Source organism: Homo sapiens, chromosome 6, assembly GCF_000001405.40.
Source record: "Homo sapiens chromosome 6, GRCh38.p14 Primary Assembly".
Lineage (NCBI taxonomy): Eukaryota > Metazoa > Chordata > Mammalia > Primates > Hominidae > Homo > Homo sapiens.
Window position 1 is genome coordinate 68,687,058 of NC_000006.12, and position 16,932 is coordinate 68,703,989.

A 16,932-nucleotide genomic window follows, 5' to 3' on the forward strand; every position below is an offset into this window, starting at 1 on the left:
ATATGGATCTTCTATGTATCATATATGGATATATACATTTATGATATATATCATATTTTTTCTCATATATAGAGAAAATATCTATATACATGTGGTAGAATTTCTAACAAAGCCTAAATATATTTTTAAAGTTCCTAAATATCAGGTTTGATTCAGAGAAAAAGATTCCATTATTAGTGTTATGAAGAAAGACATTTAAATTTCATATCACGTATTTTTCTTTTGAAAGTTTTATATATATAAATGTACACACATGCTCATATTTTATATACATGATCTTCAAAAAGTTCATAGAAAATATATGTTATGAAAAAACTATGCATGGATTTGCAATGTTTTTGCACCAAAATAAGCTTATAATAATTTATTATAACATGTCTGAACAGGATCTGGTTTGAGGCACCAAGAAGGCTAAGGTATCAGTTTTCAGGTATATGCGATGCATATTTTGCCATGTATGTTTGTGTCTAAATTTTGGAAATGAGCTAGGTATCTTCTTTTCAAATAAAAAAAATTGTGGCCATACTTGTTTCTATTGCCTTACATGAATTAAGCACATAATTAGCCAGCATTCATTCATTCACTCATTCATTCATGAATAATCAACAAACACTTACTGTGTATTTATTATGTACCATTCACTAGGAGCGTCACCTTTCAGAGGAAAAAAACAGAAATGTAACTCACACAGATAAATGTACAACTAACAATTCTGATAAGATCTGTGAGGGAAAAAAAGAAAGTGCTATGAGAATGAAAATGTACTTTAATATACTTTGTTTTCATGTGAAAAATACCTGCAAGTTCCCAAGATTATTTTTCTCCAGTGTTAGTATGCATAAAATGAGTTTTCTGTGGTACATTAGTCACTAAGGTACACTAGGTTTTAGTAGAAGAACAATATAATTTTTCACCATTCCTGCCAAACACATTCAGAAAGAGAGAAATATAATGTTATCTCTATGTGGCCCTTGAGGAAATTGAGTCAAAAGGAGATTGAGTAACCTGTCCAAAAAAATTAAGTCATGGAAGCTGGAGCTCTTTACATCCAGGCACTGTTTATAAGATCAAGTTGTCATGGTTGGCTTAAGATGGAGAAAGAACCTAAGAAACACAATGCCAACCCCATCATTCTGCAGATAATAAAATTGAGGTCAAGTGTCTTGCCCACTGCCACAAAAGTGCTGAAGCTTAATTAGCATGCAGGTGACTTGGTTCTGAGTCCCCTGTTCTTTTCACTCTGACATATGCCATGATCGATAAATTTAACATTAGTTTCAGCCTAATGTTTAAAGATTTTATTTTCTCTTTTAACTTAAATATTCTATATTCTAAGATATTATAATTTCCCCTCCACCAACCTAAACTTAGTTGAGTTGAATACTTGATATTTGCCCAAACATCAAGCATCTAGAGAAGATTCTACAAAACCCAAATATAAAGAATCCAAAACTCACCTTCACCACAACTGGATCTCAAATTACCCACGGCCATTGTTTAGCCACTCAGTAGGAGGGGAGAATGTAACAGGGATAACGTTTTCTTGGAAAGAGACAATGGTCTTTATTAATTATAACTGAAATATCTCATTTGTGTAAATTTTACAAAAATGAATTATCATGTAAACATATTTATTAGGTCCCCTCCCAGGGCCTTGGGAGTCCTCTGCAAGGGAAAGGTCCTGAAGCTTAAGCTTTGTTGACTTCACAGGAAATGAACCTCTTGTTTCTGAAAGCTTAGAATCAAATTTAGAACGCACCTTTAACAACAGACCACAGGACTTGATTGGAATGGATTTCTGAAGTCTAACATTTTCTCTGGCATTATTTAATCCTTGCATTAATGATTCCCCATTGTCCTAATCATTTCTTATTTTACTCTGTCAGATTATAGATTTCTTCCAAAAATGCCTTGTATTGGAGTTCCACCAAGACACAGATGACACCCTCCAAGGGTTTACCTGAGGAAACCCTTAGAGGGTGACTTAACTCTGACCATACGTCTGTAAATAGCCGTTTAAGGATAAGGACCTTTTACAGAGGTATGGTCAGAGTTAAGGGTGAAGTGCCCAAGGAAAAGCAACAGTGGGAAGTTGTCAGCTACCCAATGCCTGAAGAAGCAAGTGGAGAAAACTATGGTATCTGAGCTTGAAGAGAGCTCAGGGTCCTAAAGGGCAGGGTTGGGGGAGGGTAGGTGTCATTAGAGTCAAGGCACTGAGGCAGGCAGGCAGAGGACTAAGAACTCCCTCAGACCCCACCACTTCAAACTCCTGTTGGAGCCTCCTGACTCTGGTTGCTGCTAATATGAGCTAGGGGCCAAGGAACTTTAGATGGTGCAGTTCATAGGGTACAAAGCAGAGCAGAGAATGGCAGACCGCAAATCTAATGAGGGGAACAAACCAAGATTAACCGGCTCAGGCCTGAATACCCTTAAAATAAGGTCTAGAATAATGTAGATTACTATTTAAATACCTGGGTACAGGTTTATATTAATATTTAAAATTATGAGAATCTCTTTATCAGTAATTCAAACTCCATGAAAAAGAGAGCAAAATTGACATAGATTTTTGGTTGGTTGGTTGATTTTATTGTTTCTTCTGTTTTGTTTGTTTGTTTGTTTTTGTTTTTTTTATGATGAACCAAAAGAAAAAAAAACAACTTTTAAAAGCCGATAAGGAGCTGTTAATTTATGTAGTCATGTAATACTTACGAATTTATTACTAAATATATTTGTGAAGGGGACACATTATCAAAGGTGGATGAATTGTAATTTAAGTACCAAATACCTTATTCTGAAACAAAAGTTCAGAACAGTTTTCTTGACCCCAACATTTTCAAGCCTGCTGAGATTGTTTTGCCTGTCTCTTCACATATTTTGTCATTCTGGTCATTATACTCACAACTCCTGCATCAATAACTTCCTGGAAACCACTTTCTCTTTAGCCTTCTTAGCACAGTCCTTGTCCATTGTGTCTGTGGTTATAGGTGTAAGTGGGTGTGAAATTGAAGCACTTGGACTCCTGGATTGAAGCTGTGATGCAAACTCTCACTCAGGCAGTGAGCAAGTAGGGTTGTCTGCTTTCCTTTTCTGTCTTAGGTCATTGAATGTACAATCCTCTATGCAGTGAGTGATTAATGCAGATACAAAGCTTAGCCTTTACGTGCTACTGAGCTGCTGAGAACAATTTATAGGACTAACTACAACTCTAATGTGTGTGCAGGAAGTTTTTCCCTAAAAAGACTTGGAAATATTACAACGTACCTTTGTAGTTTGGGTGCTTTTGAGGCATGGAAACACAGACTAAAATATATTTAGGGATACAAGTTTCCCCCTTTCAAAATTTGTCACAGTAGGAGAAATGCCCTTTTTGTCACATAATAATAGATTTGCTATTGTCAGAATGAATGTATTCTGCCCCACTAGTATGATCTCCATGAACAGGATCAAATTTCTGTATATTTTAGATTTACAGAGAAACTAAGAAGATTAGTTTGCATTTCTTGCCCCTGACTACTATCCATTCTCCTGGGGTTATGGAAAGAACACAAAGTTTGACTTAGAAAACTTTGGGTTTAATTCACTTTACTAGTTTTATGAAATTGCTTAACCTCTAAGCCTAGCTTTCCTCATCTGTAAAACCTCAGCCATAAGAGATTGGATAACAGCTACCTACTATAAGGATTAAGTACAATTATATGGGTTAAACCTCTAATCTGGTATATAGTATATGACCATCACCCCAAATCCAACAGTTCTCATCTTTCATTTTATGCCATGCTTTATTATTTTATGTTTATTTTCCCATTTATTTCGTAGAGAACACATTTTGGGTTGCAGTTTTGTTAAGGAAAGGAAAAGACTATACAAATAACTTTTAAGGAATTCTAATAATCATTTCATTAAATCGGGCCAGTATTTTTTTTCTGACAACTGAACACTTTATCCAACAGTGCAACATTATTTTACACATATTAGGAAATTGATGATTGCCAAAAATACTTTTAACTGATTTTGTTTCATTTTTTGTTACTTCAGGACAAAAGTTAAAATGCATATAGGATCAAGTATAATTATTTGTCCATTTCAGTTCTAGGGGAATCAGTTGAATATTTGAATGGATCTTAACAAAACTGAATGTACTTTATAGAGTACATGACTTTTTTTCTTAATTAACTATCTGAATTGTGATAGACGTTGTGGTAAGTTTCTCATCATGTTTTCTTGCTTTTCTCTGAAATAGCTGCTGACTTTGTAAGAGTGCTAAGTCACAGCTGCATGAATATTCAATAGCCTTGAAACAAGGACCAGGCATTTGGTCGATTGATAGATGAATGTGTAGTGTCTGAGTTTTATTCCTCTCAGGGAAATTTTGAAATTGATGTGGCTATGGCTAGCGGCAACTTATATGCACTATTTGAAGCTCATTTATTACCTACTATCTCAGTTGAATCCTCTGATTGAAAATAGTGTATTTAAAATTATGATTTACTATGCAACAATCTAAATGTAACTGATTTTAAATGCATTGACTTTTGTTGTCACTATCTTAACCAACAATTTTAGATATGATTTAAGGATAATATATTATTTAATTCACATTTTCACATTCTTAAAATAAATTTTTTCAGTACATATGAGCATCAGGTCACTGATTAATTCAGTACCTAGCTACAATAGGTGCTAATGTTCACCACTAAGTAATAATTATAAGCATTTGTTAAAGTACCAATTTCTATTTCTACTCTACTTGTGAGTACTATCCTAATCCTTAATTAGAAGGACAATTATATATATATATATATATGTATGTATGCAATCGAGATACTTAATATATAGCCTCCATTGGATATCTGGATTGCTTAATAAATTTCAAATACATTTTATTAACAGGTACTAATGAAATCAGTGAAAGAAGCTTGTTTTTCATTCACAAATTGTTAGTATATTGAAGATTTACAAAAGAATGGCCATGTGTACACATTTTTTACTACTGTGCACATATATACTCATCTGCAAAAACCATTATGGATCAATTGCAGTACTTAGACATCACAATTATAAATGGAGGATTTTAATAATTATTTATAAAAATAATTTCAAATGTATTCCCTAGAAAATTTAGGATAAACATTTTCTAACATTTGAATCAACTATGCAAAATCACTTGCAATCAGTTTTTAGAGCCCATTAACTTTGATGTCATTTCAAATGCTGTTTACATATGGAATAACTACTTTGATTATCCCCTAGGAAGTTAATTTCGTGTTTAAAGCAATGAAATCTTCTTTCTTCCATATTTAAAATTACAAAAAAAGTAAAGAATAACAACACAGCAAGTGAGGATGCTGAACAAATATAAGTCATCTTGCTCAAAGTATATTTACTCTTTGATCTTGAACTCTTCCTTTTTATAATTTTTTCCCTAATTTTAAAAAGTGAGACAATGCATTTAAATTTCTGTATGCTACACCGTTTCTTCACCTTGGTTTAAAACAGAAAATATACCAGGGGTTACTTAAACCTGTACTCTAGGTACCCAAAGGCCCATGAAATACACATTTACTAGCAATGTTCAATAACCTCCAATAGGCAATATTAGTCTCAAACAACCACTTTAAAATATCCCTAAGGCTTCCTTTGCTGGTTTGATTTTAGCATTAATGTTGTACAAGTTATTTATATAATATAAAATTATATTTCTTCATCTGTAAAATTGAATTAATAATATCTTTTATTTGGTTTTATTGTAAGGATCAAATGGACATATAGAGAGGCAGATATAGATATAAACAGATATAAGATACATAGCTAGATAGATGATAGATATTAGCTGGCTACACAAATGCTATATACATGATAGATATAGATACAGATTCGTAAACATATGGTATTGTAACTATTATGGTTATATTATAATATATATTATAAATATTACCACTTATTTCAAATTTAAAACTAACCAATGAAATACAAATTATATTTTGATTTCATTGAATTGTCTTGCAATTTAGAACACTTTGGAACTGAATGTTTTTTATGTGGTTGGTAGTGTGGAAAACTGGGAAAGGTCAATTAAAACACAGAAATGCAAGGTTTAGAGAACGTTTAAATGAGGTAGCAATGAGGAATTGCTGTGTTGTGTTACAGTAATTTTGAAATTGATAGAATTTTGAAACTTGATATCACTGTTTTAAAAGTTTGCCTTTTAACTCCTACTCCTATTTTGACGGGTGGGAAAATAATTTTTCCTACAGCACAGGGGTTGTAAAGAGAAATGAAAATGGTAGCTACTAGTGTACACTCCTTAAAAATGTCAACAATGAAATAATGTTTTTAGAAGGCCTCTTAAAAATCAAAGCTTGAAAACATATACTAAAAAAGAAAGGTGGTTAGTGGGGCTTCTCTGATGACTCAGCTCCATAGAATCAATTTAAGGAAACTCAAGTTGAAAGCAAAGTGTCCTCAGTTTTAAAGGTAAGTGTGAGCTTAAGAAAGAAAATGATAGTGGGAAAATTGTTAAAGTCAAATAGTTTCTAATAAAATGTCTACTCATTTGTGGGTTCAGTGTATGCAGTTTTTTCTTGTATGTCCCTGTAATTCCAACTCTGGGTTTTAGGCTTATGAAAATTAACTACACAACCAACCAAATGAAATGAGTGAAATAAACTGTCAGGCCTGAGGTCTGACTATCTATTGACGCATACCGCAGTGTATCATGAATGTAGTGAAGAAAACTTTGCATTGGTATGTTTTTAAGCGATGGTCTTCAGTATTTAAGAATTTCAAATTTTTGAAAAGATAGTGGTAGAACCTTCCATATTATTCTATATGAACCAGTTAACTGGACCATGGCATATCCTGACTCCTTACAAAGAATTTTGGAGTTTCATAAAACTAAGTAATGCAAGGTATCTCATTCTCTTAGTGTTTCTTTTCTGTGATGTATATTGGTCTTTGATTTTCATGCATATTTATGAATTACCAAAACAATATTTTTCATTCTGAACTTATGATATCAGCAGGACTGGATGTTCTATACTAATTGACAAATTAGATGCATATTAATCACCAGGAACACATGGTGGCATCTACCCCCAAATTTGGAAAGCACTCAAAAGTGTCATTTGCAAATTTAGGACTGTTGACAAAATGGGCAGTTTTTCTTTATAGGAGGCATGATGCCAGGGGCCTAGTGAATTGACATATTGCACCTTATTATAAGAAAGTATACAGAGGATGAATATAATTTTATTTCCTAACTTGGTTAATAAGATGTATAGATCCATTTAGAACCACCAGCCATCCATTTGAGTGGCAGAAACCTAACTTAAGTGAATTTTTTTATATCCACCCCCACCACTATACTGAGATTTATCGAAGTTTGAGAGGGTAACTAGTATCAAGGCACTGGTATGGGAGTGAGGTGGGGGGAGGTGTGTATGAAAGGGCTAATTCACCTTGTTTTTTTAGTCTTCTGACTACACACACAGATGTCTGCTGAGATGTCCATTATCCCATGTGGCCCTCAATTATTTTTCCTATTGTTTACCTCAGAGGCATGCTGTGTTCCTCTCCTCCTGATCCCTTAAACTCTGGTGCTCTGTCCCTTTTTTGATGGTCATTCTCTTGTCTCCAGCCTACATTAGGAAAAGGAAATGAGTATTTTGAACTTTCCTAACTCCCAATAACTGCTCCTGTCCCTCATCTCTAGATTCTATCCCTTCACCACTATCTTCTTGCTCCCTAGGCCAGGGTTCCTGTCTTTGGAGAAAGCATCAGTCTTTTTAAACACCATTCTCCCAAGCATTGTGGTTAATACCTTGGACTTCTTTTTATGTCTCTATGGGTTTAGGGTTTTAGAAATCAAAGTCAGCAATACTCATCCTTTTCTGTATTGGGCCATTTTATATCCCCTCTTACGAGGTAATAGGCATCGTATAGTCTATTTTCAGTGATATCTAATAAAACTTGTGATGATGGAAATAGCTACATGTGGCAACTGAGCACCTGAAGTGTGGCTAATGTGACTGAGAGAGTGAAGTTTTAATTATATTCAGTTTTAATTATTTTAATTTAAATGGCTACATGTGGCTAGTGGCTGCAGTATGAGATAGCACAGATAGCTGCTTGAATGTAGAGAAATGACAAAGGGGAGCAATATGATAAAGGTGAGGCTTTTAAAAAATGGCTATAATTGAAAAATATCATCCAGTCCTGAAATCATATCAGAGAATTTCTTTTGACATCTGTATAGCATGCCAAAATTGAATTGAAATTACCATAACTCAAATTGCCTTAAAAAAATTGTCCCTCCTTCTGAGTGTAATTTCTTCTTGCACTCATTTACCACTAATGGGAGACAGGTAGCAGGGAGAAAAGAGGGGAACAAATCTAAACTTTCAGCAAAAGGCCTCTTCTGAGTAGATTACCAGTCTCTTATGCTAGTGTTTGCTTTCTCATTCCAAGATGGCGTCAGGATGTAAAAGAAAGCCTAGGAACATGTCTTCTTGTGATGGGGAAGGGCCCCCTGGATTGTGTGACATTTCCTCGGTTTCTTTTGGTCTCCTAAAGACTGGGACCGGACATGAGTGATGTCTGGGTAACTTCTTAACTACTGTTAAGAGTCCACAGCGAGTGAGACTTGCAGTCTATTCTTGGTGGGTCTTGCTGTTGCTGTCCTCTCCCAATCTGACTGCTACCTTGATGGGATCAAAATGCTGGCTCTGTCATACAACACATATAGGGATGACTGAGCCCAAATAGACAATCTCGGTGTCATTTTTCAGTGCTTTTGACCCTACAGAGGTAAAATAACTGCGTGTGACACATTAAATGTTGTGAGGCAAAGGAGCTGGATTCTCAGATGTTCTTGGCTTCCCCCATTTGCATATCTAGGATTTTTGTTGTGGATTTTCTTAGCGCCTTCCTGTATTTGGCTGCGACCCAAAGGGGGTAGTCTCTTTTCAGGTTCTGTTTATCTGAATCTCCCCTTCCTCCTCTCTGAAGGCTTTCCATTCGTCTTCTTGCCTGGCCAGAACTTCTCTGAAATCCCGTTATCAATGGTTTACAGTAAGCTTTTGTGATCCGAATTAGCCAAGATTAACACTTAATATTTAGAGGGAACTTTTGGAATTTCTCATTTTCTCTTTAAGTAAATCTTGGCACTTAAGATTATTGTGTCGCTGTGGAATCAAATGCTTATTTTGGAAATTAAAAGCTGAATGTATTTTTTTTTACTCTCTACTTTTCTGCATTAAAGATACAAAGGCCTATATAATAATGTTAATAAAGCCATCTATAAGTTGGATTTTAAATTTTTATAGTTTCCTGTATTTTTGAAAATTGACATTTGCCACTTTTCTTCTAAAAATTAAAAAAAAAACCTATGGGATTTTGCACAACCTAATTTGGAAGTAAAATCAAAATCACAACTGAATTAACGAAAGTTTTTGGATAAGGAAATTCCTGAACTTGATGTATTATTATTCTGACATGGAGGAAAATGTTCCTTATGAGCTCCTTCTAGGACATTTACATTTATAATATAATAAGAATAATTTTTTTCACATTATATGACAAATTTATATAATTTTTTCTAATGATTACCAGTAATTAAATGTCAGTTTCTAACTTGGCTCCAAATAGTTAAATTTTAAACTATTTTAACAATCATAAAGTGTTCAGGTCCTTTAGTCAAGGACAATTAACCATTTATTTTTATATTACAGGAGGTCAACATGAAGCAAATTTAGACAAATTGTAGTTAACTTTGCATAAGCATTTTCTTTAAAGAAAATCTGTAAACTCCAGACTACTTTGATTAATTTAAAAACCTTTCGTCCTCCTGTAAATTGATTCCATTGTGCAAATGTCTTGTACTGTGGTACTTCTTACTCTTAGAGAATTGTCACCTGTGCTATTCAGTCAGCTCAGTCAGTGAGAATAAAAAGACCTCAGAGAACCACAAAGAATTCTAAGAAGATGCTCTCTCTCTCTCAGGAACTGTGTGTTGGATGGATCAAACCTTGAAATCAAAATGTTCAACTTTGAGTTTATGTTAAAAAGAAAGCTTCCCATATTAATGTCTAGAAATAAGTTTTACACTGTTCTCTCTTGGAAGGGCATTATTTTTGCATTTTGTTGACAAAAGCAAATTTCATAAATAACTGTTTCATTTCAATTAACCAGTTTCTTTGGGATTTATTTTAAGATGGACTTCTTAAAGTAAGGCTTTTGATATTTTTAAACTTAGAAATTTGTATATATGGCCTGCTTTGATCATCATTGTTGATCAATGCTTATAATACTAGTCTAAGTGGCAAATGAATTTTTCTCTTCGAGCATGTAAACTCATTTATATACTTGTTCTTTTAAAAAAAATACATGGAATGCCTTTTTGTGCTGGATTTCTTTGTTCTCTCTTCTATTGCAGGAGGTTAAGCTTTTCATAGTAACATTTTTAGTGTTGACTCATACTACTTATCTTAATAATTTCAATCAGTCTAATGGAGTGACCTAGCTACTTGGTTCTGTATAATGATGATTCCTGTCTAGAAATCATCCTCAGACTTCCTTGTCTTCTCTTTTAGTGAAACAAACTGTACAGCACTGTCACTCATTTTAATAGGGGCAATGTCATTGCTTGCCACCTGTTATTTAATCTTTAGGATTTGGCAAAACAGACACCTTTCTTTTTATTCCACATTGCCCTGTTTACCAGATATAGGACTAGCTCTTTGCTGTTGAAGACTTTCAAAGGATTTGCATTTAGAGGAACTTGAGGTTGAATTCTGACTCCATCAATTAATAGTCAAATAATGTTGTACAAGTTATTTATATAATATAAAATTATATTTCTTCATCTGTAAAATTGAATTAATAATATCTTTTATTTGGTTTTATTGTAAGGATCAAATGGACATATAGAGAGGCAGATATAGATATAAACAGATATAAGATACATAGCTAGATAGATGATAGATATTAGCTGGCTACACAAATGCTATATACATGATAGATATAGATACAGATTCATAAACATATGGTATTGTAACTATTATGGTTATAATATATATTATAAATATTACCACTTATTTCAAATTTAAAACTAACCAATGAAATACAAATTATATTTTGATTTCATTGAATTGTCTTGCAATTTAGAACACTTTGGAACTGAATGTTTTTTATGTGGTTGGTAGTGCGGAAAACTGGGAAAGGTCAATTAAAACACAGAAATGCAAGGTTTAGAGAATGTTTAAATGAGGTAGTGCTCATTTAAGAATGTGTAAGATTGTAACACAAAAATAGAAACCAATGAGGAGGCACCAACAAGTAAGCACTTAAATCATACCATAAAGAATGGGAATGAGTTTTTCAAAATAAATAGGAACTCTTGATTCTTAGGAAGGTTCGTGTATTAATTGCTTAATTTTTTCAGTTTATTTTATTTGAGATTATTACATTCATTTTGTTCTATCTTTTAAATTTATTTTATCTCAGTGACATCATTGTATGTCTGCTGTATGACAAGCACAAAAGCATCATTCTTACCTTTATGAGAGTTAGTAATGAGCACAGGAGCCTTTAAAAAATGAACCTGGTAATTTAAAGAGAACATGGTTATTGATAATGAGATTAAAATGTGGTTTAGTGAGAGGGTGCTAGGAAAGCAAATAGAAAAGATATTTATTCCAGCCTGTGGATTTGAGGAAGATCTGCTAAATAGACGGTGTTGTGATCTGCTTTTTGTGATTTCTATGAAAGACACAGGTAATAGTCACAGGTAATGGAAGGATCAAATATGCTATCTTAGATGTGTTGATTGAAAATCTCTAATAGGTAGGTCTAGGCATATAGATTATTTGTACAAATTTTCCCAGGTGATTTTAATTTTTATCTATGATTCCTTTTACTTCAACACAGATTTATCTAACTTTTGTATAATTTTTCCCTGGAGGAAAATTAATAAAATGAATATTAAAATATTATTTTAAAATGAATCATTTATTTATACTGAAAACATTCCCTTAGCTTCTACATATTTTGGATCACAAATTGTGAAACACCCACTTCTACAATATGAATGGACATTAACTCTTCTGTATTTAACAACAATTAGAGAAACTTGTTCTTTGAATAATCACTTTACATTTTGCAGATACTTCAGGCCAATAAATTTGACCAGATGGGTGCATCTATTTGTGTAAATTACTCCTATTGAGAGAAAAACTAGCACGTAAATGAGGCAATTCTAAAGAGTAAATCCAGCTAATGTGTTCCTAGAATTTTTCAGAGATCAGTATTTCAAAGATCTTTATAAAATAAAACAGAAATAATTCTTGGGATGTATTAATTTGTTTTGAATACTGGCAGAAGGGGAGAAACTTTCACAGCTTGGGTGACAAATTTTTTAATATTTTGAGACATATTTATGAGAAACTAAAAATATTATCTGTAATAGTTGTTGGTACTTGATTGATTACATTTATTTCTACTCAGACAATCTCTTCTTTTAACATCTGATAGGTTCCTTTGCATTAAGAGAATCTCCCATTTGAGACCCAAATCAGGCCTGAGGGCATGGGCAAAAATCACAAACAGAATACAAATACCCAGAGCTCTTAGAGTGACATAATAAGCTGGGGAAATTTGATTGCGCATCACCACCGAGAGCAGTTCGACCAATTAGTGTGCTGGAGCATGCCCATTATGAACAACAGTCCTAGGGACCTCTTTCCCTTCACCCAAGCAGTAGGTGGGGGGCATGGACAAATAGAAGACAACCCTGCCTTTAGAGGGAGGTGTAGTAAGGGATTCAAGCAAAGGGCAGTCGTCCACACTGATATTTCTCAGGTACCTCCTATTTTCAAAGACATCTTCACTCCTAACTGTGTGACTCAAATCATTCCTTTATCATAGAATAGTGAAGATATATAATAACCATATTAGGGAATCTGTAAAACATATAAATGCACACACACAAACTCCTCCAGGGTCGAGAGGAGAAAAAGGGGTAAAAGAACAGGTAAATAAACACCATGTGGTCTTCACCTTAATGCAAATTTTGATACTTATACAAATAATGCAAAAACACATTCAGGTGCCTAGGTGGACCAGGGCAAAGGGAGGGACAGGGTCTTGAATAGGACTTTAATGTGGACACAGGGCAGAAGTTTCAAATCCAAACAAGAAATCTTTAAGAAGGCATTAAATAAGTATGCTATCAAATATTTATACTCCTTAAGGGCAAACATTACATTTTTTTTCCCTTGAGTAGATCTACTTTATTTTCAAAACACCTTTTTTTTTCTCACTGCAATCAATATAAGAGGAGGTTAAAAAGGAAATCTATAAACGGTTGGAATCAATTTAGCATTATCTGATCATAGAAAAGGGATTTGGAAAGTATAAATGAGATCTGCTGTAATTTTTCTCCTCTAACTTCTGCCATTAAAACAATACCAAATATAGTCAGTGTTATTTTATTTGTAATGTGTTTTCCCTTTATCCATCATAATTAAACAATTTCAGTATAGAAAAGACAAATAGAAACCCCTTTACAACTAACTTGTTAGTTGTCATGGAATTGAGGAAATTTTAGGTCTTTTTCTTCCTTGTAACTAAGGTAAAGAACCATCATTCTCAGCAAACTATCGCAAGGACAAAAAGCCAAACACCGCATGTTCTCACTCACAGGTGGGAATTGAACAATGAGAACACTTGGACACAAGAAGGGGAACATCACACACCGGGGCCTGTCGTAGGGTGGGGGGAGGGGGGAGGGATAGCATTAGGAGATATACCTAATGTAAATGATGAGTTAACGGGTGCAGCAAACCAACATGGCACATGTATACATATGTAACAAACCTGCACGTTGTGCACATGTACCCTAGAACTTGAAGTATAATAAAGAATAAAATAATTTAAAAAACTATAAAAAAATTTGTTTTGTAGATTTAGTCAAGGAATTTCATAGAACACATGAAAGACTTAAGTATCCTAATGAATATCTTTGATTCTATGCCGAAATTAGAGTAAATTTAATTTTAAATTATAAAAAGCACTTCAAAATGATTAGAATAATCAATGAAAGTTGCCACTATGAAACTGTCATTTATTTTTGTCAGCAAGAAAACGGCTTCTGACTAAATCTCGCAGTGTTGAAAATGGTACAATAGTAAAGCCAATAAATCAATTCCATTGCCTCGATATTTCATAGCCACTGACTGAAACATAGCCTCAGATTATTGTTTGGGACTGGGCTGACAAACAAGCATGACTCACTGTTAGTTCCCTCCATCCTTTCCAACAGTAGACATCAATCATTAGTCAGGCCTTCTTCCTCACCTGGTCCAAATGAGAATCCAGTCACACTCAATACAGGGCTCCAGGCTGTCACTACCAATTGATCTGAGTTAATATGTAACACGAAACCTATTCACCTTCTTGTGATGTATATATCTTTACAAGATAATTTAATCAGAGGAGAAAAGTTTGCATTTGCAAGTTGGTGTGGCTATTATTATAGCTCCTCCTCATGTCAGATTCATAGAGCAGCTTCTTGAAAACTTGCTTCTTTTATTAAATCTCATTTTTTGCCACATCTTGGTTCAAGGCTCTTTTGATTGATGGCTTGCAAAACAACAGGACCAAAACAGGTTCATTTTTCTTCTGTGCAGTGAAAAACATTTAAATTGGCTCTTCATTATTGTTGTTCTGCCTCAAAGAAGAAACTCAGAAATTTCCCACATCAAATGGCACAGTCGTAACACACCAGGAAACATCTTCCTTTTTAATATTTATCCACTATCCTAATTACTCTTTAAAGATAGAAGTGATGTTTATAAACATATGAAGATTTTAGATTTTTTTGGTGATTTATTTCAAGCTACGGGATACAGGAGTTATTGGACAAGCACAGTTTATTCTGGTTTGGCAGGTGTATTAGGCTGTTCTTGCTCTGCTATAAAGAAATACTGGAGATGAGGTAATCCATAAGAAAAAGAGGAGTAAGTGACTCTTGGATCTGCAAGCCCTACAGGAAGTATAGCAACATCTGCTTCTGGGGAGACTTCAGGAAGTTTCCAATCATGGTGGAAGACAAAGAGGGAGCAGGCATGTCACATGGCAAGAACAGGAGCGAGAAAGAGAGAGAGAGAGAGAGAGAGGAGAGGGAGGGAAGTACTACACTTTTTTAAATGACTAGATCTCATAAGTCACTCACTTTTGCAAAAATAGCACCAAGGGGATGGTACTAAACCATTCATGAGAAATCTGTCCCCATGATCCAATTATCTCCCACCAGTACCCACTTCCAACATTGGGGAATATATTTCAAAGTGAGATTTGGTGGGGACACAGATCCAAACCGTATCAGCAGGATTGATAAATTGCTTATGAGTCTGCAAAATTAAATTGGAAATATAGTCTTTGACTGCATTAATTCAATATATCAAATTATTTTTAGACTTCTTATTGACTTAAGTGTCAGTGAGACAGCCTACAGGGATCAGTTTCGCTGCTCTACAGAGTAAAGCAGGAAGGAGATAGGAAAGGATTCAAGGCCAAAAAGACAGAGAACTCAGCACTCTAATTATTTTCCTTTCAAATATTAGAGCCCCCTAATATTTCAGTTCTATTAATAAAAATGAACAGAAAAATGAGAGACTCTACAGTCAGCCAAGATAAAATAATCAATAAAAATCTTACGGTAATATTTTGGTCTTTTGGAACCACTCACAGTAGTTTCTGTTTTTCTGATCAGACCCTGGCTGATACATTCGACTGAAATATAAAATATGTAGGATTTGCTTTTGTTTTCTGGATACATATGTATGTGGCTAGAACTTGTACAGAATTCATGTGACTTTTGGCCATTATTGCAGGGTATTTAAAATAGACCTATGTTTTTCTAAATATTTTAAATTTGGCATTTTGGCTATTCAATATTGTTAACTTATGTTAAAATGCATCAGATATAAGATGCATTGATGGGTGGTTGGAAAGATTAATGAAGGATAGGTATTAACCAACAAGTATGGTAAAATGTTAGTAGTAAAATCAAGGTGATGGGTATATAACTGTTTACTGTAAAATAACTTCAACTCTACTGTATGTTTTAAAGCGGCCATAATGTTGAACAAATTAAATTTTGTGGATTTCAAAACAATCTTTTTTATCACTCAGAATTAATAATTTAGAGTTATAAATTAATATTTTTGCTTCCCTTAATTTGGTAAAAATTGAAAAGCAAGCTTAAATACAACATAAACACTCTCCCATAAGCTACTACCATTGTGTGGGTCAAAGAAGTATAATTTTGAAATTTTGAGCGTATCAATTTATAGTCATAAAGGTCAGATTCAGACTTGAATTTAACTATATATATGTTTCTATAATTTATACAATAATTCTACTCCAGAAGAATTATTTTTCAACACTGATTTTGTAAATTAAATTATGGCTCTACATAGGGAATTTTCTTTTTTCAAAGATTTAATTCATATGTTTACAAAATACCTAAAATATTAAATAAAAAGAACCCCATTCATTAAGATTTTTTTTGTTTGTTTGTTTTTGAGACAGAGTCTCGCTCTGTTGCCCAGCCTGGAGTGCAGTGGCGCAATCTCAGCTCACTGCAACCTCCGCCTCCCGGATTCAAGCAATTCTCCTGCCTCAGCCTCCTGAGTAGCTGGGATTACAGGCGCCCGCCACCATGCCCAGCTAATTTTTGTATTTTTAGTAGAGACGGGGTTTCATCGTGTTGGTCAGGATAGTCTCGAACTCCTGACCTCAAGCAGTCCTCCTGCCTCAGCCTCCAAAAGTACTGGGATTACAGGTGTGAGCCACTGTGCCCGGCCATTAAAATTAGTATATTGTCATTGATAGATGTTTCTGCAAAATTTAATTTTAAATGTCATCTTTGTA

General features: G+C 34.0%; 1 protein-coding gene across 1 annotated transcript in view, besides 1 other annotated feature; it reads left to right on the plus strand.

The window, feature by feature from the left end:
* Positions 1–16,932, plus strand: part of ADGRB3 (adhesion G protein-coupled receptor B3) — a 754,225-nt gene that overhangs the window by 51,776 nt on the left and 685,517 nt on the right. The window lies entirely within an intron of this gene.
* Positions 7,262–7,814: an enhancer, noted in NCBI's record as "OCT4-NANOG hESC enhancer chr6:69404211-69404763 (GRCh37/hg19 assembly coordinates)". NCBI's record gives its function as "activates a minimal SCP1, AML or CMV promoter by ChIP-STARR-seq in primed H9 embryonic stem cells {active_cell/tissue: H9 hESC(primed)}" and the evidence as "EXISTENCE:reporter gene assay evidence [ECO:0000049][PMID:30033119]".